Genomic DNA, 27,755 nt, shown 5'->3' on the forward strand with positions numbered 1-27,755 from the left:
ACAGGCAATGTGCTTTCACTACAATGTAGAGGGACTGTGATGGTGATGGGTGCAGTCAGGCTGGAGCCACGAGAAGCGTTGCTTAACTGGCTGTGACCTATGGTTTGGTGTCTTAGGCCAGTTGGTCTGTGCTTGGGGACTAACAGTCTTGAGGAGACCTTGTCCCCACAGGAAGAGGGGAGGGAGCAAGGAGACAGGATGTGGAGGGCAGGGAGCTGCTGGCGCTGGGGAAGTTTTCATGGAGAGAAAAGTGGGTGGAGGTGGGGGCAGTTGAAATCTCTCTGGCCTGAGTTCAAGTCCACTTGGTTTCCTTGTGTCTTTGCATCCCCTTTTCTCCAAATTGCTTCTCAATTCTCCTCCGAGGTGGAAAACTCATTGTTCCTCTTCTAAAGAGGTTTTGCAGAAATGAATTCCTGTGGCCACTTCACCTTCTCCTCTCCCTGTCCAGGGCCAGTGATGAAGATTTGCTTATCTTTCTACCCAGAGATAGCTCAGAGCCCAGGGAAAAGCACAGCTCCCCTGGCCTAGAGGAAGGCAGAGCTGGGTGACTTCATAAATCTGGCCAGGCACATTCCCAGAATGCCAGGCCTCGGTCACCCCATCATTGCCTGGAGAAGCGCTGAGGCTTGCAGGCTCTGGGCAGGGCGAGTCTTACCTTGCTGGCGATGATGGGAATGGAGGCCCGCTGCAGGGTGGCGCTTCCTCTAGTGTCGCCCAGTGTGCTCCAAGCATTTCACTTCTATTACTTCCTGTACTCCTCACTGAAACCCAGCGAGGAAGACCCTGTGATCAGGGTGTCACGGATGAGGAAGCTGGGGCTTCAGAGGTGAAGAGTACTCATGGGCACTAGCTGAGAACACAAAGGTGGGGGAATCCCAGTCTCCTGACTTCAAAGCCTCTGCTCCCTACCCCACCCTGCTACTAGGAAGCTGGAGTGAAAGAGGTGTCAGAGCAGGAGCGGGTGAGGAATTAGGGTTCAGATGATGGAAGCAGCTCCTACTGATGAGGAGAAGGAGGCAGCATTTGGAGCCTCTATAAACCTCTCCTGCTCTCTAGAGGGATTTCTAAACTAAGCTATAGAGATTGATCTGCTCTAGCGGAGGGAGGCTATGGCTATGGGGGAGCTGAAGGCAAGGTAAGAAAAGCCCATTGACAGGGAAGACAAGGTCTGCTGGGGCAGTGACCGGACCACAGCCTGGCTGCTGGAATCCTGGGTTTTAATCTCAGCTCTGTTCCTAGGCCTGTGACCTCAGATAAGACAGTTCCTCTTTGGACCTCCATTTTCGGATCTCTACCATGAAGTGACCTGATTTCTAAGGCATCTTTTGGCAGAGAACCTGTGATTTTAGTCTTGGATGTTCAGATGGGGCCTTAAGAAAGGGAGGCAAGGAAAGACTTAGGGTTTGGTTGGGAGGGCATTGTCCTCAGGAGCATAAACATACTTGGGAGCTGTCATACATGCAGCCCCTCAAAAAGACACATATGCAGCAGCCCCCTGTATGCACGAGGTCCTTCTCTTGGGGGATGGTACTTCCTGTTCGCAGGGTCTGTGTCTACTTCTCCTCTCCTGAGGGCCACTGTGCCTCACTCCCCGTACTCAGGGGAGATGCTCTAATATTTAACAACAGGTATGGCACAGGCCCTGGCCAGTCAGAGCAATCATGGCTGTAAACAGCCGGTGTAAGACTGTGCCAAGGTGCACCAGCTATATGCCACCCCTGCTGCCATGTCTGATTCCTCTAGTAGAGCCAAGAAAGGTAAGAGGGAGACTAGGGAACAAGAGGCTGGGGAAGTAAAGGCAGAAAGAGGGGTCACAGGTTCTCCTTGTCCCTCCCTCATGGTGCTGTCATCCCAGCCTCCCCGCTGCCTCTCGGAGCTCCCTTCCCATGCCTTGTGCCCTGAACAAAGCAGTCTTGCTTGCCAGCTGCAGCTGCGTTCTGGAGGCTGATGGAACCAAGGGGATCTGGTCTGTATTCCATGTGATCATCCCACACTTGACAATGGGCAGGGGACCCCAGGGATTCCACCCCTACCTGCCTGAAGAGTTGGTGCTTTACTAACCCTAATGGTCAGAAACCAGGGCTTTGTCTTACTCACTCTCTGCCATTGGCTATCAAGTCCCAGGGGAACCCCAAAGTCCCCCTTCCACTCTGTTTTACTCTAATGCTAACCTACTCCAGGTCTTTGCTGCCATGTCCCTGGATTGCTGTGCTAGCCTGCTGGCTGCTTCTCCTACCCTCAGCCTCTAGGATGGTTCTCTTTTTCCTTACAAAGGTTCTTGATTGCTTATTAATTGCTAGTAGTCAAGATTTCCATCAGTATTTTTTGACTGATTAATAAGGACCCCTCTTTCCTCCTTTTCCATGAGAATAGGTCATTTCCCAAATGGTCAAGAAATATTTATTGAACCCCCATGAAGCACAAGGCTTTTATTGGCTATAGAAATGGGGATGGCTGTCAAAGAAGCAGGAGACACAGCTCCTGCCCTCCAGGAGCCCTCACGATATTTATGAGAGCCAGCAGCAAAAAGATAACCAGTAGTACAACGGCAATCTTCCATAATGTGTTATTTGAGGCTTTTCTGGGCCTATTAAAAATTCTGTCACAAAGTTTATAAAGAAAGAGAAAATGGAGCTGGTAAAAAATTCTAGAATGACAGTTAAAATAGAGCATGATGTATGAGAGGCCAGATGAGATTATACTAAATTATTAGCTAGGACTTAGGAAATAAAGCAGTGTTCTCTAGAAGTTACCCTGAGTTCACTAGGAACAAATTATGCCACATTTATATTGTTCTCTCTTTTGATAAGATTCTAGAGCTTGGTTCAAAGGAGTGTCATAGATTTAGCATATCTTGAGTTCTACAGGGCTTTAGGGGAAATCTCTCATGTTGACTTTATAGAAAAGAGGGCTAGATGAGAGCATAGTTACATAGATTTAGAGCTGGTTGAAGGACTGTCCCCTGAGAGTATTGATGAAACTTCCCTGGCATTCCTAGATCAGATTTTTGTGTCATTAGGGTCTGTGTCCTTGATGTGGTCAACATTTTTAGCAAAGATGTGCGTGATGACCACAGAGGCATTCTAATCTGTTAATAATCTGAGTCCAGGAGAAATAGCTAAGAATCAGAATTCTAAAATATCTTGACTGCAAACCGATGATACTCAACAGGGATAAAAACAGAATTCCATATTTATGGCCAAAAAATTAAGATCTATAAGTATGGGATGGGGAGAATCTTGGCTGGGTAGCAGTTTGGTGCATAAGCTATGGTCTCTCTACTGAACCCCCCTAGGTTGTCAGGAACGAGTGGTTGAGGATGATTCTGCCTCTCAGGAGGCATGTGTACTGGTTGTTGGATTGAATTGATCTAGAGGCCATGTGGCACCAATGACAGGGGTAGCGTTCTTTCTCAAGCTGGTCATCATTGACCTAGGCTTTCCTAGTGGCGAGCCAAAGCCTTGACCCTTTCTGTCCAATGACTACTCAGCTGTTAAACGTCCATCAGTTCTGGTCTCTAGACAGAACAGTGTTCTCTGTAGTTGCCTGGTATGAAAAGAAAATCTGAGCAGATTTCTTCTGAAAATCTGAGCAAATGTCAAATACCATTCCAATGATCAGTCCTATTTCTGTACCCAGGCTTCGCTCTGACTCCCCTGGGTAACTCTCTGAGGACAACTGGCCGCCTCCTTCTAGAAGGATCAGTGAACCACTGCCTGTTGCTATTTCACATTCATCCAAACATGCCTGTACAGAAAACTGAGCACAAAACTGTACAAGCCTCTGTAGTCTTCCGTCTTCCTCCTGCTCTGGAGACCCAGGCTGCAGGAGCTATGCCACATCATTAGCTCAGTGTTTCCTCTGCCAGCCTTCTTCAACTCTTTCCTCCCCATTGGTCCATGCCTTTAAATCAGTTATCCCCAGACCCGGAAATGAATCAAGTGAGTAAGTGAGCCTTGCTGGAAGCTGATCTTACGGAAGACAGGGAATAGGAGCCCGTCCACACATTTATGGAAAGTCAGCTCTGGTCACATGGAAGTCACATTCAGTGACCCCAGCCTTTGTCCTTCTCTGAGGGCAAGGAAGGGGAATATGAAAGTGTCTTGGCAGATAACACTCAGAGGACATGGTGGGGAGGATATGTAAATGCCTCCAGGTGGGAAGAGCTGGAGGGAACAGAGGGATGCTGTGGGAGGAGGGGCGACAGCGGGGTGGGTGGGGCTTTGCTATTGGGTTGAGGGCTCCCAGCAACCTGTGGGACAGAGGTTATGAAGGCAGAGTGACCTCTGCCCTGGCCTATCTGACTGTATGCCTGACCACCCTGTGTTCTCTCCTCTTGTCCAGATCACAATGAGGACCTAGGGCATCTGTCTGCTGACGCCCCCTGGCCTGCAGTGACCATGGCCCCCCGCAAGAGGAGCCACCATGGCCTGGGCTTCCTGTGCTGCTTCGGGGGCAGTGACATCCCCGAAATCAACCTCCGGGACAACCACCCTCTGCAGTTCATGGAGTTCTCCAGCCCCATCCCGAACGCAGAGGAGCTCAACATCCGCTTTGCAGAGCTGGTGGTCAGTGAGAGGGTGGGGAGAGACAGTGACAATGGGGAGGAGGGTGGATGGAGAGGCAGAGCTGGACAGAGGGCAGGGCCCCTGTGCTGGGGTCTCCATCTCTCAAAACTCCTCTTGGGAGGAGATAGGCCCCCAGGACACCTCAGCTATGTTGGGGAACCAGAGTCTCTCACTGGGATGGACAGCATAAAGTGTGTCCCCAGAAGAATGGTCCTACCTCCTCTCTGCATTGGATTGTAGACCACATGGTGCAGTAATTAGGTTATCATAGGAAGGGGCAGCTCTGGGTTTTGCAAAATAAGATGGTGAGACATCTCAAAGAACATCAGAACATTTGACGCCTTTCTCTCTTCTGCTCCTTGGAGTTTCCCTGGGATCTTTTAATGTCCGAGGCACAAAGAAGGGACAGAGTGGGATTCTGTGGGCAGACACTGGGCACCTCGGAACAGGGGATGATTGGCTAGGAACCTGGAGGTGGAAATGCCTATGTCATGCCTGGGGTCCCAGTTCAGGCCTGGGATGATTATGTGCTGTGCTTAGCAAGGGGCAGGCGGAAGCTCTGCCATTCACACCCGGACCAGCCTGTGCTGATTCCGCAATGCCCGCCCAGACCAGCTTTCAGACTGCCCTTGTGAGAAGCCCGTGTGTGTGCAGCTTTATACCCTGGCCACAAATAGACAGGCTAGGAAAGAAGCATGATTCCTTCTCTCTTTGGAGGTCTGGTGGTGAGACAAAGTCTGCACACCAAGGGAGGTCCCAGGCCTGGTAAAGAGCCATAAGTACATGTTCATCTACCATTAGCTCTTGGTCACTCATTCTGTGGTGGGCCATTAGTAAGCCAGTAAAGAAACAAGGCCATGTGGTTGGAATGTGGTTTTATACTTGTATTTGCTAATAGATATACCTGGTTAAGCCAATCCAGCTCTTTAAATAACAGGGTCCCTGAAAGATGAGATTATGCAGGTTATATGAGAAAGGTGTCCAGCTTCCTTGTCACATCAGGTTTAGGAAAACTCACTGTTTCCTGATTTTTTAGCTTTCCTCTGGATGGGGCAAGTGGTGGGGGCAAAGCGTTTGCTAGTGTAGAATAATATCTGGAGCCTGATTAGTGTTAGGGATATTTTCTTGAGTAGAGTGAGTTTTGAAAGAAGGACATGATAGGCAGTGTTCCTTTCTTTGGCTCTTTTATTCAACAGATATTTACTGAGCATCTTCAGGACAGGGACCCTTGCATGGCACTTTAGCAAAAACAAGGGTGAGTCAGACAAGTCTTGCCTGCAAGAAGAATAGCATCAGGTATCTCTCAAACAAGTGAACAATATTTCTTGGAGAGACTGCTGGGTGCTGGGCTGTATGAGGGTCCTAGGGATGTAGAGATGAGCCACCAGAGACCTCCCCTGCCTCCAAGAATGTGAAAGCCTAGTAGGGAAGACTGATTTTGAGGAGCAGTGACAAGTGTGATGAGTGCTAGGACAGGGAGCATTCTGGGGGTGGGGGCATGGGAGTGTCTAGCAGGGAGCTGTATTCTAGACTGGGAGAAGTCACAGTGGCCTCTGTGAGCAGTGACATTTCCACCGAGATGATTAGATCAGTGAATGAGGTTCAGGACAATGACAGAGGGTCTCCTGCAGAAGAAACGGCATATGTGAGTCTCAAGTCAGAAAGGAGCTGGGTCCTTTTGGGGTACACAATGAAGACCAGAAGAACTAAAGTTTTTGGATTAAACCCTAAGGGCAGTGGAAAGCCATGGAAGATTTTAAGTAGGGATTTGAGGTGATCTGATCTGCTTTTCTAAAAGACCACGCAAGGTGCTCTGCTAAAGAAGGGTTCTGGGTTGACCATTTGGAGGCTTTTGCCTCCTAATCCTACAGGTTAGAGAGAAGGGTGCCTTAGACTAAAGTATTAGCAGTGAGGATGGAGAGAAGTGGACAGATTCAAGAGCTGTTTAGGAGGAAAGATAATAGGACTTGGTAGGATCAAAGAGTGAGTAGGAATCAAAGAATACCCTGGTTTCTGACATGAAGTGTTGGATGGATATTGGGGCCCTGGGCAGGATAGGATATACTGGAGGAGATTCAAGTTGAGGGGGCTGGGATGATGAACTCAATCCACACATTCTTTCTGTACATCAGTTTCCTTATCTGTAAAATGAGTTGTTATAAGTTGTTATTTATTTATGAATAAACATTACATACTTAGAACAGTGCCTGGTACATAGTAACTCTACATAAGTACATCATAGTAGAGACGTACTGGAGACAGTGGGGCCCTAGGGTCTGGAGCTCAGGAAACTGTTGGCCTAGGGGTACAAGTTTGAGAGAGTTTGAGATAATAACTGAGTCCTGGGGAACAGGTGAGGGAGGATGGTGCCCTGAGGGACTTCTACATTTAAAGGTAGGATAGAAGAGGAGAAGTCATCAAGGAAGCCCACGCAGGAACATAGGGTGAAGCAGGAGAGACTGCTCAGGAGGGTAGTTGCTAAAGAAACCAGGGAAGTGAGGTTTAATAAGGACCGAGCAGTCAGCAGTCAGTCATGTGCTGCCTAGGCTGAGCAAAACCACCATTGATTTAGGGGTATAGAGACCACTGGCTGGAAAAGACAAGTGCATCAATAATCTGAATACAAGCTCACATGGAACTGCTCTGTAGTTCAGGAAGGGAGAGATTCTTCTTACCTGGGAAGGTCTACTGAAGACTTGCGGGAGGAGGCTGACACTGTGCCCTAGGAATTAGACCAGGTCCTTAGTGTGAGTGGGTGCAGATGCCTGTCCAGGTAGGACTCACTGTGTAAACAAAGGCACAGAAGTTGAAGAGGTGCAGAGTTTGTATTGGGAAATGTAAGGTGCATATAACTCTCCTTTTCCTTTTATTTCTGATTTTGATCGTGGGAAAGAAACCTCAAACAGGGTTCTGGGAATTTTGAGAAAGAACTTCCTGGGATATATAGAGAGCAGTTCTAGGGAAGAAATTTTGTTTGGGATTAAATCTGCAAGAGTCTTTAGTTCCAGAGGCAGGTGAACTGATGGGTATTATTTCAAATAATCCTTGTCTGTGCTGTCTGAATGGCAGTCCCTGGCCACGTGGGACTACTGGCTCATCTGAATTGAGATGAACTGTAACTGTAAAATGCACACCAGATTTTGAAGACTTAGTGTGAAAAAAGGAATGTAAAATATCTCATTATTAATTTTCTACATGATTTTATGTTTAAATGATTATATTTTAGATTTACTGGTTTAAAATATACTATGAAAATTGACTTCACCTATTTCTTTTAAATTTTTTAATGTGACTAGAAAAAATTGAAAATATATGTCGCCCATGTTATCTTTCTATTAGGCAGTTCTGATCTAGGTGAGAGAATAAAGTCTTAATATTCTCCCTTGAATAAAAGTATAGGGAAAAGATTACAGATATCAAAATTTAAGACTATTATACTTCCTTAGATATTGTTTTCACTGTTTATTGTATTTGAAAATATAAAGAGTCATAATATTATGCTTTGTTATGCTTAATTTATGCTTAATGCAAGTTTTGCTTTTGATTTTAAAAAAAGCACACTATGGTCTCCATGGCCCATTAACTAGTCCTTTGATTAGCCCTGGCATTGCTCATGAATGACAGGAGAGGCAGCTTCAAAAATAGAGCTTTTCAGGGGCCGTCTAGCACAGCAAAACCTTCAAATTCACCCTAAAATACCTATGGAGTTACCCCAAATATGACCTCATAAAGTTCCAGTTAGCTCCTTGGAAAGTTTGGACTAGCCTGATGGAGCCCCGTGCCTTCTCTTGCTGGTCCTGCAGTGGGAGGGGCTGCCTCCAGCAGGCACTACCTCCCTCGGAAGCAGATCAATGCCTCCCGGGGCATGGCTCGCCCATCCTACTCTGAGCAGCCCCTTGTCCTCACCAGCTCTCTCCAGCCTGTGCTAGGGCCTATGCTGAGTGTGGGGGAGCCAGAGAATGTCTAGGGCAGAGATTCGAAGGGCAGGTAGATGTGAAGGATGGGGCAAGAATCTGAGAGAGGCAGAACGAGATCTGCAGACAATTCCCTTCTTTGTTAGGCTTTGTATTATGGTGTCCACAAGCTTAAGAATGACAAGGGATGGAAGACAAGAGACCCCAGGGCGAGAGGATCAGGAGCTAGCAAAGCAATGCAGGCGATGGGCAGGGAACAGGGTGACCTGAAGCAGGAGGGTGGATTTGCAGAGACAAGGCTGGGGGTGGACAGGAAGTAAAGGGAGTGCAATAGAAGTCACATAGGGTTGGTTGAGGCAAGGGGATGGGGCTGTATCTCTGATAGAAAAAGAAATGCCCTATCATATCTTTGATGCTCTTCGGGAGGAAGATAGTAGTAGCCTGAGGAACTGATTTGGGGGAATTGTAATTTCCTGCAGGGCTGACTATTCTAATCTCAACCATCCCTAGTGTCAGACGTATTTTTTCTTATTGTCTTTGCAGGATGAATTGGATCTCACTGACAAAAACCGAGAGGCTATGTTTGCACTGCCCCCTGAGAAGAAATGGCAGATCTACTGCAGCAAGAAGAAGGTGCCCTCTCTGACCCCTCTGGCCACATCTCAGGGTTCATGGCATGGGGTGGCTCTTGCTGCCTTGGCATGCTCATGCATTCACCTGATGTTTATTACATGCCAGCCCTGTTCTAGGTGTTGGAGGAACAACAGTGAATAAAATAGAAAAAGGAAATTCTGCTGTCCTGGAGCTTACACTCAAAGAAATAGGATTCTCTTTTTCAAAAACGCTTAAAGCAGGACCTGCTGCATCCCAGGACTGGGGCTTGCTGGGAGACAGACAAAGAAGCAGAGTCTGGACTCTCTCGTGCCTGCTCCCAGGCATGGAGGGTGGGCATCATGGACCATACCTGGAGCAGCTTTGCTATAAGAAATCAGTTTGGGGGGCAGGGATGTCCTCTTTTGGATCTTTAGTCTCCACTCTGTCCCAGGCTAGGGCTCACACATCTGTCCATGTTCTCCTCAGCATATCCTCCCTCTCTTCTTGCTCATTAAAAGATGCTGTTAGCCTCCTGCTATGGCCCTCCCTAGAAAGGGGTATGCTGAGCTCCAGTGGGGCTTAATTGGACTTGATCTCCTCCCTTCTGCTTTCCCAGCGGCTGTGCATTCTTCTCTCTGCTGTCTCCATCTCCGTGTTTCTTCAGCTTGCCTCTGTCTCTACGTCTCTCTCTTGCCCCCTTTCTATTTTAGTCTGTTTCTTTTGCTCCTGAATTTTCTTTTCATGGCCTACTTTCCTCCTCTCCCCTCCACCCTCCCAGTTTTCAGACTTGAGTCCCAAGTCTAAAACTTGTTATTCTGCCCTCCTACATTGCTTTGGTGTTTGGGGACCAGAGCCTGGCTATTCCCACGCCTGAGGCTTAGGCTCCCTCCCTCCTGGGAGGAGACAGGAAGGTCTGGGCGGAGTCTGAGCCATGTATCCTTTGTGCTCCTGTGCCCCCTCATAGCTCTTCTCTTACTCTTCCTGCTGAAGACTTTATCCCATTCCGAGGTCTCCACACTGAGCCAGACTGACCTTGTAACATTGGAGGATTCAAATATACACCATTTCAGAGTTGCAGGAACCTGGAAAACCACACAGTGTCGATGCAGTCTCATTCTTTATTCTACAAATGAGGCCAAGAAGGCCTAGAGAGGCAAAACTCACCCACAGCCCACCCAGTCCGTTATGGCAACTGGCTGCCCATTGCTAGAACCTGAGACTGCTGGGGAAAATAGTGCTAGAGGCTGAGGACCTGTGACAAGAGGCATGGGCTGCACACGCTATGAGCCATTGTCTAGTATACTCAATGCATGCTTATTAAGCACCTGCAGAATATAACACTCTGTGTTTATGCATCTCATTGTGAGAAAAGCAGGTCTTTAAAAAGCTCAAATCATGGAAAGAAGGAAGGAAGGAAAGAAATTTCAGGCGTAATTAATCATATCTCATGATTCTCCATTTTCCAAATTGATTTACTATGGAGTTCCCTTAAGTTGGTCTCTTCTACAGCTGCTAAAACAAACAAACAAACAAACAAAAAAATGGCCAGGCATGGTGGCTCATGCCTGTAATCCCAGCACTTTGGGAGGCCGAGGTGGGCAGATCATCTGAGGTTGGGAGTTCGAGACCAGCCTGACCAACATGGAGAAACCCCATCTCTACTAAAAAAATACAAAACTAGCCAGGTGTGGTGGCACATGCCTGTAATCCCAGCTACTCGGGAGGCTGAGGCAGGAAAATCACTTGAACCTGGGAGGTGGAGATTGTGGTTAGCCGAGATCATGCCATTGCACTCCAGCCTGGGCAACAAGAGCGAAACTCCATCTCAAAAAAAAAAAAAAAAAAAAAAAAAAAAAAAGATTTATTAAAATAGAAGGCATCTCTCACTGCCTTCCAAACCAAATTGTAATTTCCCCACACACTTTCACAACCTTCCACCTTCCCACATGGCACTTCCTCTGTCTATAACACCCTCCCCACCTGTCTTAGCTGTAATGCTCTTTAATAGCCCAGTGTTCTTAGACCACTCACGCCAACCCCCTACAAGCCTTCTGTGTTGGATGGATCACCCCCCAAGGTCTGCTATGGGTGGCTCTACCATAGAACATTTACCACCCTTTCTCTGGCACTGGACTGTTACATGGAAGGCAGAGACCATGACTCTTTACTCCGTACTTTCAGAGCTCAGCACAGTGATTGGCATCTAGTAGGTCCCCATTCAGTGCATATGGCATGGGTAAATGACGAGCCAGCAAGTTTAGGAAAGGATGTGTTTGCCGACACAATTGTTTTTGGTGCTGATTCCCCTCCCCAAGGCAGAAGGCAGAATGTTTGGCCTTCAGTCATGGAGAATTTAACATGTATAACCATGATTAAATTTAACATTTAACCATGTGAAGTCATAAAGACCCAAACAAAGCAGCTTTTCTACTGGTCTAAGATTTGTATTTTGTGAAACAAAATAGAAAACATTGAGTGGATGGAGCTGAGAGCTGCAGGGCCCGCTGGCAGCTGGCAGAGAGGTGTTTTGTCAGGGAGGGTCTGGAGGAAGTTAAGTTTTCATGCCGATTTGGAAGCAGGAGAGTGGAGAAAGCAGATGGGGAGGAGCCTCCAAAGTGACCTGGGGCACAGGAACAGGAATGAGCAGGATGGGTGTGAGGCCCAGAAGCAGATCCATTTGGCTGGAGAAGGCTGGATTTTCAGTCAACATTAATATTTCTTTAACTCCCATCATTCTTGCCCATACTTGGGGAAGAGTCGAGCCTGTCTCTTGAGGGCTGAGCACTGGGCCAGAGGTCCTCGGATCTGGGCTCTGCCTCCCCGCTGCACATCCCCCTCATTCAGGAGTTTGCCAGGAATTAAATCACAGGCCTAAGGGGGTCTCCTGAGTCTTTTCAAAGCCCAAAGCCTTGGAAATTTCTCTATTTTTCTAAAGTTACTATTTAGTGAGTGCCTACTATGTGCCAAGTGTTTTCTATTAGTGTTCTAGAAATACCTGAAAGACTTAAGTTTTTAAATTTCCAAACTGTCACAGACCAATACTTTTGTAAAATATGAGAATGAGATTATCAGAAAAAGTAAAAAGATGTATAAAAATAAACAGGAATCTGAATTAGATTCAACAGCCAGGAAATTATATTTCATTAAATACAAGCTGAGCAAACAGAACAAGAGAAAAGAATTTTTAAAAAATGGTGCACGTTGCTCACTGAAAGTACACACACCTGCATAGTTTCTGCCCGCGTCGTTGTCTGGCCATGAGAGTCAATGTTCATCATCTGTATTTCACCAAGGGAGAAATGGAAGCCTGGGGGAGAGTGTAATTTCCTCCAACCCACCCGACATGGGCAGAGCTGAGAAATGAATCCCTCTGCTGACACGGAATGAAGCTCAGGATCTCAGGCCACGGGCCTGTCTTGCCTGTTGGTCCATGCTGTCCTTTTTCTTGTTTCAGGAGCAGGAGGACCCCAACAAGCTGGCAACCAGCTGGCCTGACTATTACATCGACCGCATCAATTCCATGGCTGCGGTGAGTGGCTGCCCCTCTCCTGCCCTGCCCCCACCTGGAAAGGCTACGGCAGGGAGTGATTCCCCCAGCCCCCACCCCCCACACACCAAACTGCCTTTTACTGCTCCTCAGCGCCCCACTGCCCACTCACTGGAGTTCAGCAGCTTTCCAGTTATTCATGAAATTTTAAGGTAATCCACCCCTCCTCTGGGCAATCTCAGAGTCCCCCAACCATTTAAACATTTTAAAATCCATTTGGGCATCACACAAACTTGGGAAATAAACCGGGCCAGTACTTCTCTCCATTTCACAGATGAGGAAAGTGAAGTCCCAGCCCAGAACCTAGGTCTTCCCAGGGGCCGACACTCGGTCTCAGTAAACCATTCCCTGAGGCCTCACCCTTTCTGAGGCAAGCATGGCCCCTGGGTCACACCTGAGCTGTAGTGCAGAGGGTTGGGAGACAGGCAGCCCCTTTCTACCTGCTGGCCCTCAGATGCAGAGTCTGTACGCGTTTGATGAGGAGGAGACGGAGATGAGGAACCAAGTCGTGGAAGACCTGAAGACAGCCCTCCGGACACAGCCTATGAGGTAATTCAGTTTCCCCCTCTTGCTTCCTGCTGAGTCCCTTCACAGTTGGTCTCCTTGCCTTCCCGAAGCCCTGTGCAGTGCTCTGCTCCCATGCCGGTCCTCCTGGCCAACTCTGCCTCACCTGACTTCACTTCCCAGCCCCTACTCCTCTCCTGGGAGGCTGCCAGGGCTTGGGAGGAGGGGAGAGAAACCTGGGAAAGTGGGATAAACCTCAGGTCCTGAGGAGCTCTCTAAAGAGGAATCGAGGGCAAGTGCTTTTTAAAAATTTATTGATTTATTTTTGGTAAGGGGATAGAATAGGAGCGTGACCAAATGGACAAGGTACAAAAGAAAGAGCCTTGTGAGGATGAGGGGGCAGGGTGAGTGCCCCATCCAGGAAAAGAGGGACGCACGGGTAGAGAAGTACTCCAACCACTAGGGGGCGGTGTGGTGTCTCTGGATGGGATTTGCCATCTAGAATGGGAGCAACGCAGGCATGGAAAATGGGGTAGAAGTCCTGGAGCCATAGGAGGACACCTTTCCCTTCCCAGGCCACAACGTGTGGGGCCCAAAGTGGGGCTCCTTGTGTCTGGGTCTGCCCCGTGGTGTGCTGGAACTGGCTAGTAACAGCTGGCGAATGCTGAGTGTCAAATTTTCAGCAATTTTGTAAGCTGGTTGTTAAACGTAGCTATGATTAAAATTTCAATTGTATAAATTTAAGATTCAGTAAGTTATATCAAAACAAAGGTAATAAATACTTGAAACTCTTCATTCCCAAATTACCTAATTATTTTTCTACATTTTACTATAAGGTATACTTTTGAGTTTACATGCATTGTATGTGCATGGAAACACTATGAAATATGCATCTCTTCCCAACTCTGCATTCAATGACATCATATCTGTAGCTTGAAATTGGCTATGCTGGGAGCATTTACACCATGGAAATGAGCAAACAATCAGGAGCCACCCTTCACCCTTCCCCTGGCGAAAAGCTAGCCATCCATTGCATGGGGATGTGTATGTTGTCTGAGCTGAGCTCTCTCCCCAGGAGACTAGAAACAGCCTCAAGAAGAATGGGAGCATCCCAATTGTCTCTTGTCATTCTGGTAGTGGTGGGGCTCTGGAATGGGAAGGGGATAGAGGAAAGGATGAGGTAGTCAGGAAATAAAGGGGTTGAGAGGAAGTTGCCAGGTTTGTCTCCTACCCCAATTTATTGTAATTTCCCTTAATAATATTCTGCTAACAAAAGTTACATATTGTCATTGTGGAAATTTTATGGAATGCAGACAAGCATAAAATAGAAAAAAGTAAAAAAATAGCTATTGTTAACAACTTAGTTTGAGAGCACATTCTTTTATTTTCTAGGCGTATTTGTACAATAACATAAACACAAATACGCTTGGGATAAGTAATGTTATTTATAATAATTTTCTTAGATCATTAATTATTTTACTAAATCAAGGGTACCTGTGTGTGTGGGCATGCCATGGACATCCGGCGCCTAGGTGAAACTTATGGACTGCTTCGCAGAAATGATGTTTTAAATAATAGATAAAAAGATAGGCATAACAAATCAATGAAAATACAGCTACAAATAATAAAAATGAGATAGCAATGAATTCTGCTTCTTTACACCTTAAATAGCAAGAGCTAGCTGCGAGTCTTGATAACCATCATAATTTTGAAGTACTGAGGAGTGTAAATGGTATTTTGAGATACCTGGTACAACTGTAATTTGGTATGAAAATAGCTGTGATTTCTTGGGGTGACAAAGTCACAGATTATGCTAATACTACTGTCATTTATTGCTGACATTCATCATTGAGGAAAATACTAAATTTTAATTAGAAGTTACCAAAAATAAAAATGTAATTTTCTTTTCCCACCCAAGTCCTTGGATCTGTGAATGCTATCCATAGATTCTTCAGCAGAACACAGACTCCAAATTAAGAACCCCTGAACTAAATGGGTTTTAATGTTTTTTTGCTAACATTCAAGATAGATAACTCTGCTATTTTCTTTAGGATCCCTTGAAATGTAGCTTCCCTAGGCTTAACGCCATGACTTGATGATTCTGATGGCTTTCCTATCTGGAAGCCCTCTTTGTTATCCGACTGTAATTCTCTTAATCTCCATCCTCACTGGAGAGGAGTGTTCAGGTTTAACAGCTCTGATAATTATCATGATCATGTGAAGAGGACTTCACATTCATACCATTTTAGCTATGCAACTGACAATGATATGCAAATACAGAGTATTTAAAATGCAAATAAGACACAAGTCTTTTGTGAAGATGATAGGATTTCACTGCTTTAGATAAACTACGAATAAACCAAGTGGCTACTGTAGGTGGGACAAGGTGCATGGTGGTACACAGGTAAGGGGGTAACTATTTGCAAAGTGTACACAGAATCATATGCAAATATATGTTTGTTAATGGCTCTGATTTGTAGGTTTGTGACCCGCTTCATTGAGCTGGAGGGCTTGACCTGTCTGCTAAATTTCCTCCGGAGCATGGACCACGCCACCTGTGAGAGCCGCATCCACACCTCACTCATTGGCTGCATCAAAGCATTGATGAACAACTCCCAGGGGCGGGCACATGTGCTGGCACAGCCTGAGGCCATTAGTACCATAGCCCAGAGCCTACGCACAGAGAACAGCAAGACCAAGGTGGCTGTGCTGGAGATCCTGGGTGCTGTGTGCCTCGTGCCTGGTGGCCACAAGAAGGTGCTGCAGGCCATGCTGCACTACCAGGTGTATGCAGCAGAGCGAACCCGCTTCCAGGTGAGGGGCCAGGCTGGAGGTGGGATGCCAGCTGGGTGGGGCAGAGGATGTCACATGTGAGTGAGAGCCTGAAGATTCTTTGCAGCAGAAACTGGGGGAAAAGGAAAGTAATGTGGTCTGCATGCCTGCTCCTGGAAGGTAACAGGTGAAGAGTACTGGGACCTGGAAGGCTTGCATAAAAACACATGCAGGGCCTTAAGAGTTATGAGTTTGGCTGGGAAATGGACTTGTCTTCCTTATTAGTCAGTGGGTTCCTGGAAGCCGGAATATTGGCCTGCATTATTTTTGTGGCTCTGCATCTCCAACCTCAACACCTGGCTCATGATAGGGGCTCAGTCAAGAATTACTGAATTGAGTGCAATTGCTGAGATTGAGATTTTAGGTGCTATACTTGGGCCAGTACCTAATGTGGGACACTGGGACCATCCCTGGGAGCTTCAGCCATGCTATTCTCTTTTCTTTCCCTGACCTGCCCAGAGAAGTATCAGTGAGATGAACAGTAAATATGAAGTGTCTTAGCACAGTGCCTGGCACAGAGTAAGTCCATAGAGACATGAACTGATGTTACAAACCCCATGGTTTATTGCCAAAAACTGGGTCCTGACTCTGCAGAAGACGGAAAAGGGATAAAAGCAGTGTCCATACCATAAATGAGCTAGGCAGGGAATACATATGAGCTGTAAACAGCTGGAGCACGATGATAAAGCAGCACTGAAGCACTGCTCAACCATGTAGACCAAGCCCCAAAGGCTGAGTGGAGAGGAAGTGAGGCAGCACTGCCACTGAGGTGAGAGGCAAGGGAATTTTCCAGGCAGAGGTGAGGTTTGGGGCAGCCCAGAGTAAATTGGACAGACCTGATTGGGTGGAGAGAGCAGATGGGGCATTCTAGGTAGTGGAGGCGACAGGAGTAAAGATGCAAAGGCCACACCTGTTGGGAACTCAGCCCTCTCCTCCTGCTCTGTCCTGCATTTCCACCTAGACCCTGCTGAACGAGCTAGACCGAAGTCTGGGCCGGTACCGGGATGAAGTGAATCTGAAAACAGCCATCATGTCCTTCATCAATGCTGTCCTCAATGCTGGAGCTGGAGAGGTGGGGTGCCTTCTCCTTGCCCTTGCTGTTCCCTGACTTTCTGGACCTGGGGTAGAGTGTGTGAGTGTGTTGCTTCCCCAATAATTGTTTTTGCTATTAAACCTGGGAGGGCTCCTGGGGAGTTGCCTACATAGGTAGCATCATGCACGGTGGACAGACCCAGAGCTGAGCTGGCTGATGATGGCTCAGGGTGGCAGAGAATCATTGGTGGGAGGAGGGCGAGTTTGGGCCCTTGTTTATGGAGAGCTGTTTCTGGACTGTTTTCTCGTTGGCTGGTCATGTTCTTCTAGTGCCTTCTGTTAGGTGTGCCTTCTGGTTTCCCTTCCTTTGGGGTCAGAATGGGATTCTTGAAGTATAAAAATAGCAACAGGCTGGGCGTGGTGGCTCATGCCTGTAATCCCAGCACTTTGAGAGGCCTAGGTGGGTGGATTACCTGAGGTCAGGAGTTTGAGACCAGTCTGGTCAACAGGGTGAAGCCCCGTCTCCACTAAAAAAATATAAAAATTAGCCAAGTGTGGTGGTGGGCACCTGTAATCCCAGCTACTTGGGAGGCTGAGGCAGGAGAATCACTTGAACCTGGGAGGCGGAGGTTGCAGTGAGCCAAGATTGCACCATCATTGCACTCTAGCCTAGGGGACAAGAGCAAAACTCCATCTCAAAGAAACAACAAAAAAAGCAACAATAGAAGAACTTGAAGAGCAGGTGAACGTTCCAAATTCTAAGGCAATCAGATGCCCTGGTCAAGGTTAACTTGAAGGACAGAGGGGGCAAAGGGAGCAATTTAATGATCTTTACTTTCCCCTCTTTTCCGCCAGCATACTTTTTTTTTTTTTTTTTTTTTTTTTTTAAAAACAATTTATCTTTATGCCCTGGGTTAGGGAAGGCCGGTTGGGGGAATAATCTGCCCCTAAGATGCTAACATCACCTTTGTTGGTACCACCTTTTCATGGCTGGCATGTGCTCTGATTAGCTGGTAACCACACCTCATCAGGTAATTATAACAAGTGTCATCCCTGTAGATTAGTTATGCTATGATCATTTCACAAATGGGGAAACTAAAAGTTTTCCCAAGGTCACAAAACCAGATCCAAGATCTGTCTGATTCCAAAGCTTGTGCTCCATGTCACTCTACAACACTGCTCTTTGGTGCTGAAGGCTAGAACTGGCAAGGGGCTTGAAGGAAGTGGGGCAGGAGACCTAAAAGAAGCTGGGCAGTGGGTTTGCTTTAAACTAAGAAATAAGGTCTCCATTCTTTCTTGGAACTCTGGGATTGGAAGCAGCTCCAGGTGAGTTAGCTGTGGGAGATGTGTTGGGTCTGTGGCTAGGGTGGTGATGAGGGCTCCACTGGGGATGTTGTGGAAACTGAGATCTGCCAATGAGTCTGGCCCTCCCTTGGTGACCCCCAGGATAATCTGGAGTTCCGCCTACATCTACGGTATGAATTCCTGATGCTGGGTATACAGCCTGTGATTGACAAGCTCCGGCAACATGAAAATGCCATCCTGGACAAGTAAGTTCCAAGCACCCGTCTCCATTGCAAACCTGTGGGGACAGTGCCTCAGATGGGGATAGTTGGGACCTTTGTGAAGGCTGCCCTTCCCTCTGGAGACCAGCTGCCATTCCCAGCGCAGATTCAGAATCAGCTCTGTGGGGGGAAGGGGTGCCCTTGCCTGTCCTCTTTGCTGACCTGCTTGTCTCATCTCTGATGTTATAGACAGGTGAACCCAGTAGCCCTCAACCATTGCAGTACTTCCCCCTGGGGGGCATGTGGAAATATATGAGGGTACTCTTTGGTTTTCAAACTGGTTGATGGTGGGCAATACTGGTATTGGTTGTTGGGGGCCAGGAATGCTAAATGTCCCGCAGTACCTTCCTGCTCAACAAAGAAATGTCCCACCCAAAATGCTTGCTATAACGCCCTTGTTGATCCAAGGGCACAATTATGTTCCCATGTGATACCAGTGAGGCCCCTCTGGTTCTGTCCCATTAGTTTAGGCTATTTTATTACACTAGGTTTTAAGGGACAGAGGATGGATCCTTTTGAGGTGGAACAAGTGGATGTGTGCATGAGGATAGAAAATGAGGGAGAGATTAGTTTTGAGGGTTGACTTGGAGACCCTATGAAAGTACTGGGGAAAATAGACCAGGGCTGATGTCCTCAACTGAGAGACATTGGGCGATGCCTGCAGACATTACATTCTTGGTTGTCACACTAGGGGGTGCTGCTGGCATCTAGTGGGTGGAGGCTGGGGATGCTGCTAAACATCCTCACAGATCAGCCTCCCACAACCAAAGATAAGCGAGCCCAAAATGTCAGTAGTGCCGAAGTATAGAAGCCCATTCTAAGGTGAAGGGACCCTGGATTGGCCTCCCTGAAGGAAGGTCATGGGATCTTATAAAGGGCAGACAATGGGTGTCCTACAAACAGCGGCTTCTTTCCCATTTTGCCTTCATTTTGCTTGAATGAAGCTTTCAGATTTAGCCAGTGGGGGGCTCGAAGGGGCTGTAACCCTCAACCAAGGGTGTGTCCTGGCTGTAATGTCTACTCTCTCTGTCTCCCCATTCTGTCTAGACATTTAGACTTCTTCGAGATGGTGCGGAATGAGGATGACCTGGAGCTAGCCAGGAGGTTTGACATGGTGAGGAGCCAGCAGGGTGGAGCGATTGCAATGGGGTAGTAGGGTTCTTGGTGGCCCCACAGCCACTTTTCTAGACCCCGTGTTGTGGCAGGGCTGGTGTGGGCTGGTTCCCTGGTGGGCACCCCCATGGCCAGGTCCTGTGATCAGTCATAGTTCTTCATAGAAACACAACCAATAGGATACATATATAGAGATAGACAGATGAGAGGGCATTTATTAGGCGAATTGGCTCACGCAACTATGGAGACTGAGAAGTCCCATGACAGGTCGGAGTTATTGCATGGAGAAACAGGGAAGCCAGTAGCATGGCTCAGTCCAAGGCCAAGGGCCTGAGAACATAAGGGGCCACTGGAGCAAGTTCTGGAATCCAAAAGCTGGAGAGCCTGCTGTTCTGATGTCCAAGGGCAGGAAAAGAAGGATGTCCTGGCTCCAAAAGAGGTAGACAGAAAATTCACCTTTCCTTGGCCTTTTTGTTCTCTCCAGACCCTAAGCTGATTGGATGGTGAGGAGCCCACAGGGTGGAGTGATCGTAGTATGGTAGTAGGGTTCTAGGTGGCCCCACAGCCATTTCTCCAGGCCCTGTGCTGTGGTGGAGCTGGTGTGGGATCTTCCTTACCCAGTCCTCTGATTCAAATGCCAGTCTCTTTGGGAAACACCCTCACAGACATACCCAGAAAGAATTCTTTACCAGCTATCTGAGTATCCCTTGATCCAGTCAAGTTGACACCTAAAACGAACCATCACATCTCACTTCCAGAGCCTTGGTAGTATGCAGGCTGTGGAAGCCTCCCCCGGGAAGGCATCGGCCTAGGAGGAGACTGAAACCCCCAAAGGAAAGGGAGCAAGTTATTGCATGTGATTAGTCTCAAATACCTTTCCTGGGCTGACTTTCCCCTGCCTTCCAGCAACTTCCTGAGTCCCCTCTCCCCATCCCTAACCAGATCATGCTTAGCAAACTAAATTGTATTTTCATTTTAACCTCGGCAACCCTGAAAGCACACAACTCTGCTTTATTGTGTTATAAAATCCCCATCCAAATAGAAAGCTACTTTTGGGTGGTGCTTTACAGTCACTGAGTGCATCCATTATATTTTCACAAAAGCCCTGGATTTATAGATACAGAAACAGAGGTTAGAGGGGATAAGCAGCTTGCCTGTCATCACACAACTAAAGCGTAGATCTGGGGTTTGAACCCAGGTGGTGGACCTGCGCCACATTCCACCTGCTACTTTGAATCCTCTATGCCCCTGCTCCCTTCCCTAGTTTGGATCAGTAGCTCTCAAGCAGGGATGATTTTGCTCTCCTCTCCCCCTGGGGACATTTGCAATGTCTGGGGACATTTTGACTTGTGTGAGGGGGTGCCACTGGCATCTGCTAAGGAGAGGCTGGGGTGCTGATACACAACCTACAAAGCACAGGGCAGCCCCCACAATGAGTAATTATCTGACCCAAGATGCCAATAGTGCTGAGACTGAGAAACTCTAGTTTATAAAATTGACTATCTCCCTGTTCCTTTTGTCTTTCTCTTTTTAAGCCTGGGCCAGAGGCAGGGGAAGAAAACCTTTCCTATGAGACAGGGCATAGTGGATGGAAGCAGGGTCTTCTCTCTCCTGCTGACTTCCTCTGCTGCCTACCCACTGATCACTGTGCCCTCTTCTCTCCCAGGTCCACATCGACACCAAGAGTGCTTCCCAGATGTTTGAGTTGATCCACAAGAAGCTGAAGTACACGGAGGCCTACCCCTGCCTGCTCTCTGTGCTGCACCACTGCCTGCAGATGCCCTGTAAGTACCCTGCACTTGCTGCTTCCCTCGACTGGCCTGAACCTTGACTTGGGGCAGGTTTAGACAAGACTTTGGGACCTCCCTGGTTTGGGGAGTCTGACCATGTCTCCCTGTGCACTTGCTTTTGGGAGGGCAGGCCCCATGACGGAGGCCCCTGCTTTTCCTTCCCTCCTTGGGGTCAGGTCTTCACTGTCATCTGGGGAAGGAGCTGGGGACTTGGCCCTGAGCAACTCCAACATCCTAGTCCAAAAACGGTAGCTTGATCATTGCAAAATTAAATAGCTCAGCTTTCAGCTCATGACGGGGGAGAGATCAGTCATGCTGGGGAGTTCCAAAAAGTTTTGTGCTTGGGGGAGTAGCACAGATGTGGAATGAACATGGTTGTTTTTTTCCTTAAGGTTTTATCAACTCCTTCATCTAGTCCTTGTTGGCTTCCACTCTTGCACTCTTGCCCCTGCTTCTGCCTACAAATACCAAATGTCAGCATCTATGGGAGCAGATGGCTAAGTTCTTAAGATCCAGGTGTGCACAGTGATTGAATAAATTGTACATAATTGCTAATAGCCACTCCAGAATGCAATTTGAAATGAGCTTTAACTGTACCCCTTGGTACTTAAGCTCTTCACAAAAGAGAATATTTTGAAAACCAGTGTGGCCCACCATAATGGTTGATGTTGGCGGTGTCAGCAATCATAGTGACAGTGATGACAACTGTGACTTATTGTGTGCCAACTCTGGGCCAGGCGTGATGTGAGGTCCTTTAGCACATCATCTCTGAACCTTAGAATGACCTAAGGAATACACATTATTATGTCCATTTGAATAGTGAGTGAACCTGAGGCTCAGCGAGATATTTACATATAGAAAGAATTTTGGTTTCTGCGGGGTCAAGGGTTGAGATAAAACATGTTCTGCCTCTTTGAGCTAGTGACCTGGCTTTACACGATTTTGCTGGGTGAAAAGTAGATGGTAAATGATACAACTTTGCAATGCATGTGTCAGTAGACTTGTGGACAGGATAGATGCAGTGACCTGAATTAAGAAGCTATCAGTTCTCCAAAGCTCATTGCAGCAGGTCTTCATGAAGGGCATAGAAATCTCTGGGAAACCTGACTTCTTGTGCTCCCAGGGATTCCTGTGTTTCCTGTTCCATGGGCAATGTGAATGGGTTCTTCTACTCTGCCCCAAAATGGGGCTTTGCAGACTCGATATTCTACCTTGTAGGCATTGTGGTTTGCTTTGATGTCAGGATTGAACTTGTTGGCTTTTTATGATGGTCAATAAAGTGCTAGGGATCAAGGACCAAGGAAAGAGAGTTTGTGGTTATTACATAAAAAGGAAGTCCATGTCCAGCCAGATGACTATCATTAGAGGGGATGAGAGTGAGACTCTATGAGATCACACACAACACACTATGCCTTTACCTTCATAGTTCAAGGTCACTTCCACAAGAAATTTTCTCGAGTTCCATTAAGCACTTCTCTAACCCATTTTGACTCTCAGTGCACACCTGCAATCAGTTTCCCTTCATCTTTCTCTGTAGAGTAATAATGTGGATAATCCTAAAATCTTTTTTAAAAAAAACTTCCCTGGAGACTTCATTATTCAGCATGTAATATTTTGGAGCAGGTGGTTTTTATAGATAATGTAAAAAGCAATCTGCACTTCCTGGGCATAGTATGCCCAGGGTCCAAACAAGGAAGAAAGGCAGCCAGAAAGTATTTCAGGGAGTAGAGAAATATGTTGGGGAGGTGGTTGACACATCCGTAGAAGTCTAGTTGCCGATAATCAAGAGATGACTGAATCAGTGAGTTGCCATTATCAGCAATGGCATTGCCTCTTCTTCTAGACTGGGAGCTTACCATAGGTGGAGAAGGGCATGCCTCACCAGCCAGACCCCAGGCAGCAACTCTAGGGTGGGGCCCAAGGGGGACTTCAGGACTCAGGAAAGATATGATACCTGTCATCCCTCAGACAAACGGAACGGTGGCTACTTCCAGCAGTGGCAGCTCCTGGACCGCATCCTCCAGCAGATTGTCCTCCAGGATGAGCGGGGTGTGGACCCTGACCTGGCTCCCTTGGAGAACTTCAATGTCAAGAACATCGTCAACATGTGAGCAGTGGCCAGCCTTTGCCCTGTCTTCCTCCACCTTCCTCATCACTCTCCCACTCTGGTCTCACCAGCGAAACCTCAGCTCCCTTTCGCAACCCAGTCATCCCGAAATGAGTCTTGGGCAGCATGGTCCAACAGAACTCTCTAAGCTAATGAAAAAAGTGCATTTCTCTACTGTTCAACATGGCAGCCAAATGTGGCTATGGAGTACTTGACACACGGCTAGTATGACCAAGGAACTGAATCTTAAAGGTTGTTTCATTTAAATTTCAATAGCCACATGACACGTGGCTAGTGATTACTCTCTTGGACAGCCAACACAGGTGTATTGGGCATGTTCTCAACTCTCCACGATCCACTGCATGGCTTGGATAGATGGGGAATTTAAACACATTAACGTAGAACAAGGGTCAGCAAACTATGGGTGCATGGGCTGACTCCAGTCCTCCAGCTTATTGTGTATGGCCCATGAACTAATAATTTTTACATTTCAAACAACACACACACACAAGTATAAGTGACAGAGACTATGCATGGTATGTAAAACCTAAAATATTTACTCTGGCCCTTTATAGAAAGTTTGCTGACCACTGACATAGAGCCTGACCATTTGATCATGAGGTTGCTGGATAAGGTTATCAGAGCCTAAGGCCTTCTGGTTTACCATATTTTATTGATCTTGGATAGAGAAACACAGAGAAACATTTAAATCTACATCAATTAATAATAAGGCCTTACATTAACATACTAATTTTTAATTTTAAGCTTTTACTTAACTTTCAGTATGAGTTTGAGCCACTTGCCCTTAAGGAGATAAATTGGCTGTCAATGATTCATTATGTTGCATTCCAAAGCCAAGTACACAATTATTTTCCAGCTATTCTTGCTACTGTTTTCATTTGCATAGTCAGATATTGATGTAGTTAAAATCCTAATTGGTATGTTGGACAAGTGCAACTGGGAAAGTGATCAAAAGGTGACTTTAGTTTTATTTCCTACCAATTCATTACACTATTTAGTAGGCAATCTTTTCCACTGCCAGAGGATAAAAACTCCTGAGGTCCAATGAAGTTTTTAACCCTTCTTGGGTAACAGGAGTCCTAAGATCACTTTCAAGTGCAACATAGTCTGAAATCTACAACTAGGAGGACTAAAATCATGACATGACATTCTAGACATGATTTAGCCTTAAATCTTTCTCCTCCACCAGCTGGGGCCAGGAAACTGGAATGGGAAGGGTGTGTGTGTGTGTGTGTGTGTGCGTGTGTGTATGTGCATATGTGTGCACATATGTCTGTGTGTGATATTTGCCTTCTTTTCTCTGTTCTATTTACCCTGTAACCCCTTCTATCTCCCACCCCTCCTTTCTACAAACCAGTCCGACCCTCTGAAGAGGCAGCCTGGGGACAGGAAGGAAAGAGGGAAAAGGTCTTACTTGATAAGATAATTTAGTAAACAGGCTCCCTGCTCTCTTGCCTTTTTGGCATATGGGTAAAGACGTCAGTGTGTTCCTGGAATCTTCAGAAGTTCCTTGCTGGGTGCCTCTCACTACAAAACCCAGCTCACTGGCCATGCAAGATTTTTGTTCCAGCTGGCTGGCTGCTTCCAGCTCTTCCATCTGTCCCTGGTTCCCTGGCAGTCCACTGCCTGTAGACTTATGGTGTGGATGTTCCCACTTTTCGCTCAGGTGGAAACAGCTCCCCTTGCACAGGACTGTGAAAACTGCACCCCAGTTCCTCCATGAGGCTTATATCTGACCCATGGGCAACCCTCATGCCATCTCTTGTGCCAACGAACTCTAGGAGTGCTGGCAGGGCCCCACACAGCAGTGTTCTTCTTTTGCTCCCAGGGCTTTGCTTGGTTCCAAGTAGGGCCCCAGTCTACCCTACCTCCCTCCCAACTTCAGGGAACATGAGTCAAAACTCTTGGGGAAGGCCCAAAGAAACCCCTTCCTTGGATGGTGGTGAAGGAGGTAGCATCTTGGGGATAACAGCAGTGGCCCTCTTCAAAGAAATGTCTTCATGAAATACTCTCCCTCTCCATACTCTGTTCTCTATGTCCTTGATGTGGCTGAAGAGGCCAAAAGTCATGGGTCTAACTCTTCCACATTCTCAGATTTATAAAGGAAAGGATTCTTGGGATCTCGCTTTGGGATTTCACCTCTGTTAGGCCTTGGTGTCAAGGTAAAAGCTAAATTTGAACACAGTTTCAAGAGCTTGGCATGAACAAGGCTGTCCTCTGTGTCACTCTGAACACATTCAGTCTGTATTGCTGGTGTGGGTGATGTCTCTTGCTCTTACGCATTGGTCTTTGGAAACCTGGACCATGGTAGGGCCAATATTTTGATCTCTTTTAAAGGTAAAACCTATTTTACAAGGAGGTGCAAGTCATGATATAATTCTTGGGAGCCTGAGGTTCAGTCCTAGTTCTACCATTAATTAGCTCTTGCCCTATCCCCATTCTCTGAGCCTCAGTGGCTCCGGCTGTATCACAAAGGGGCCGGGTTATAGGGTATCTAAAGGTCTTTTCTCTCACGGTCTCCACAGACACATAATGTGAACGGGGCAGGGGACCTGGAGAGACACCTGGGAAGTCTAAATCCTAGCCCCCTTGATGTGGCTGGACAGATTGGAGACCAGGGTCCCCACCTGGAGGGTAGAAAGATGATGTCTCCTGGGAAGCTGTGAATCAATGGTCAACAATCACATTGCCCCTTCCCTCTATGCCCTGCCAGGCTCATCAACGAGAATGAAGTGAAACAGTGGCGAGACCAGGCAGAGAAGTTCCGGAAAGGTGAGGGGCTCTGCTTAAGCCTGCTGTCCACTCCACATGCCCTTCCCCTGCCCAGCCCATAACTCCATGCCCTTCCAGGCAGGGAGTCACATTACTCACATTCTCTCCTTCTGTTTCCTCTCCCGTCCCACCCCCATTCCAGAACACATGGAGCTTGTGAGCCGTCTGGAGAGGAAGGAGCGGGAATGCGAGACAAAGACATTGGAGAAGGAAGAGATGATGCGGACGCTGAACAAAATGAAGGACAAGCTGGCCCGGGAGTCCCAGGAGCTGCGCCAGGCTCGGGGACAAGTGGCAGAGCTGGTAGCCCAGCTCAGTGAACTCTCAGTATGCAAGCATCTCCCCCTTTACATAGTTGAGCCAAGACCCTGGGCTTCAGGACTGGGTGGGCAGAGCAGGTGTCGGAGAGGCCAAGGACCCCAGCATGAGGGAGAAGGGAGATGGAGACCTTGGGCCAGGATAGAAGAGACCCTTGAGGCTGTACAGGTGGCATCTTTGTGTTAGAAAAATAATGTCCCTTCCTCTGGGTGACACTGTGCCAGGAAGCACACCTTGGACAGCAGAGTGCAGCTGGAATTGGATCCACTTCCCTCTCTCAGCTGGAGATCTTGTGCAGTCAGTAACCTACACAACTGCATAGATCAGTCCTGCTGTTGCATTGTGATGGCTATGACTCTGATTGTCCAGTGTCCGTGTGCGTGACGTGTGTGTGTCTGTGGTGGTGGTGTGTGTGTGTTTGCGTGTGTTAGATGTTTGGATGCAGAGAGAGAAAATGGGGCCAAATGTGTGTAGAAGATAAGGGTAGGATTTGGGGCCTAGTATAGAAAGAAACTAGAAGGAGAGGAATCATGGTGGGAGACCTGAATGGCAACGGTGCTGATGGCTTTGTCCTTGCAATTTTTCTGTTTCCTCACAGACAGGCCCTGTATCTTCCCCACCACCCCCTGGGGGCCCACTCACCTTGTCTTCCTCAATGACAACCAATGACCTGCCTCCACCCCCTCCTCCTCTGCCCTTTGCCTGTTGTCCCCCTCCCCCACCACCACCCCTTCCTCCCGGGGGACCCCCGACTCCCCCAGGTGCCCCACCTTGCCTCGGCATGGGCCTGCCCCTCCCTCAGGACCCCTACCCCAGCAGTGACGTCCCACTCAGGAAAAAGCGTGTCCCCCAGCCTTCTCACCCACTGAAGTCCTTCAACTGGGTGAAGCTGAATGAGGTGAGCATCTGGGAAGGGGCTGGAGGGCCCATTCTTCTACAGCAGGGCAGTCAGCCTCAGGGACCACCCGCCCCTTGTTTACAGATCTCCACTCTGGGTCCTTTCTTTGGTGGGGGGTAAGGGCAGTCATGTGGATGTACAAAGTGGGTTTGCTGTGCCAGGCAGCTCACGGTCAGAACA

At 47.6% G+C, this 27,755-nt stretch overlaps 1 protein-coding gene across 19 annotated transcripts in view, besides 1 other annotated feature; it reads left to right on the top strand.

Moving 5' to 3' along the window:
• DAAM2 (dishevelled associated activator of morphogenesis 2) overlaps window positions 1-27,755 on the top strand; it is a 112,494-nt gene that overhangs the window by 59,527 nt on the left and 25,212 nt on the right. For all 19 annotated transcript variants that reach the window (XM_047418533.1, XM_047418534.1, XM_047418537.1 and 16 more), the window contains 13 exons: window positions 4,345-4,568; window positions 9,026-9,115; window positions 12,531-12,605; window positions 13,078-13,172; window positions 15,608-15,941; window positions 16,921-17,031; window positions 18,438-18,541; window positions 19,604-19,670; window positions 21,336-21,453; window positions 23,428-23,566; window positions 26,301-26,359; window positions 26,502-26,686; window positions 27,276-27,575. In XM_047418533.1, the coding sequence (XP_047274489.1) occupies window positions 4,345-4,568; window positions 9,026-9,115; window positions 12,531-12,605; window positions 13,078-13,172; window positions 15,608-15,941; window positions 16,921-17,031; window positions 18,438-18,541; window positions 19,604-19,670; window positions 21,336-21,453; window positions 23,428-23,566; window positions 26,301-26,359; window positions 26,502-26,686; window positions 27,276-27,575 (1,901 nt within the window). The remainder of the gene's footprint in view (window positions 1-4,344; window positions 4,569-9,025; window positions 9,116-12,530; window positions 12,606-13,077; window positions 13,173-15,607; window positions 15,942-16,920; window positions 17,032-18,437; window positions 18,542-19,603; window positions 19,671-21,335; window positions 21,454-23,427; window positions 23,567-26,300; window positions 26,360-26,501; window positions 26,687-27,275; window positions 27,576-27,755) is intronic.
• Window positions 12,595-13,094: an enhancer, noted in NCBI's record as "H3K4me1 hESC enhancer chr6:39832273-39832772 (GRCh37/hg19 assembly coordinates)". NCBI's record gives its function as "activates a minimal SCP1, AML or CMV promoter by ChIP-STARR-seq in naive H9 embryonic stem cells {active_cell/tissue: H9 hESC(naive)}" and the evidence as "EXISTENCE:reporter gene assay evidence [ECO:0000049][PMID:30033119]".

The sequence above is a fragment of the Homo sapiens genome, chromosome 6 (genome assembly GCF_000001405.40).
Source record: "Homo sapiens chromosome 6, GRCh38.p14 Primary Assembly".
Lineage (NCBI taxonomy): Eukaryota > Metazoa > Chordata > Mammalia > Primates > Hominidae > Homo > Homo sapiens.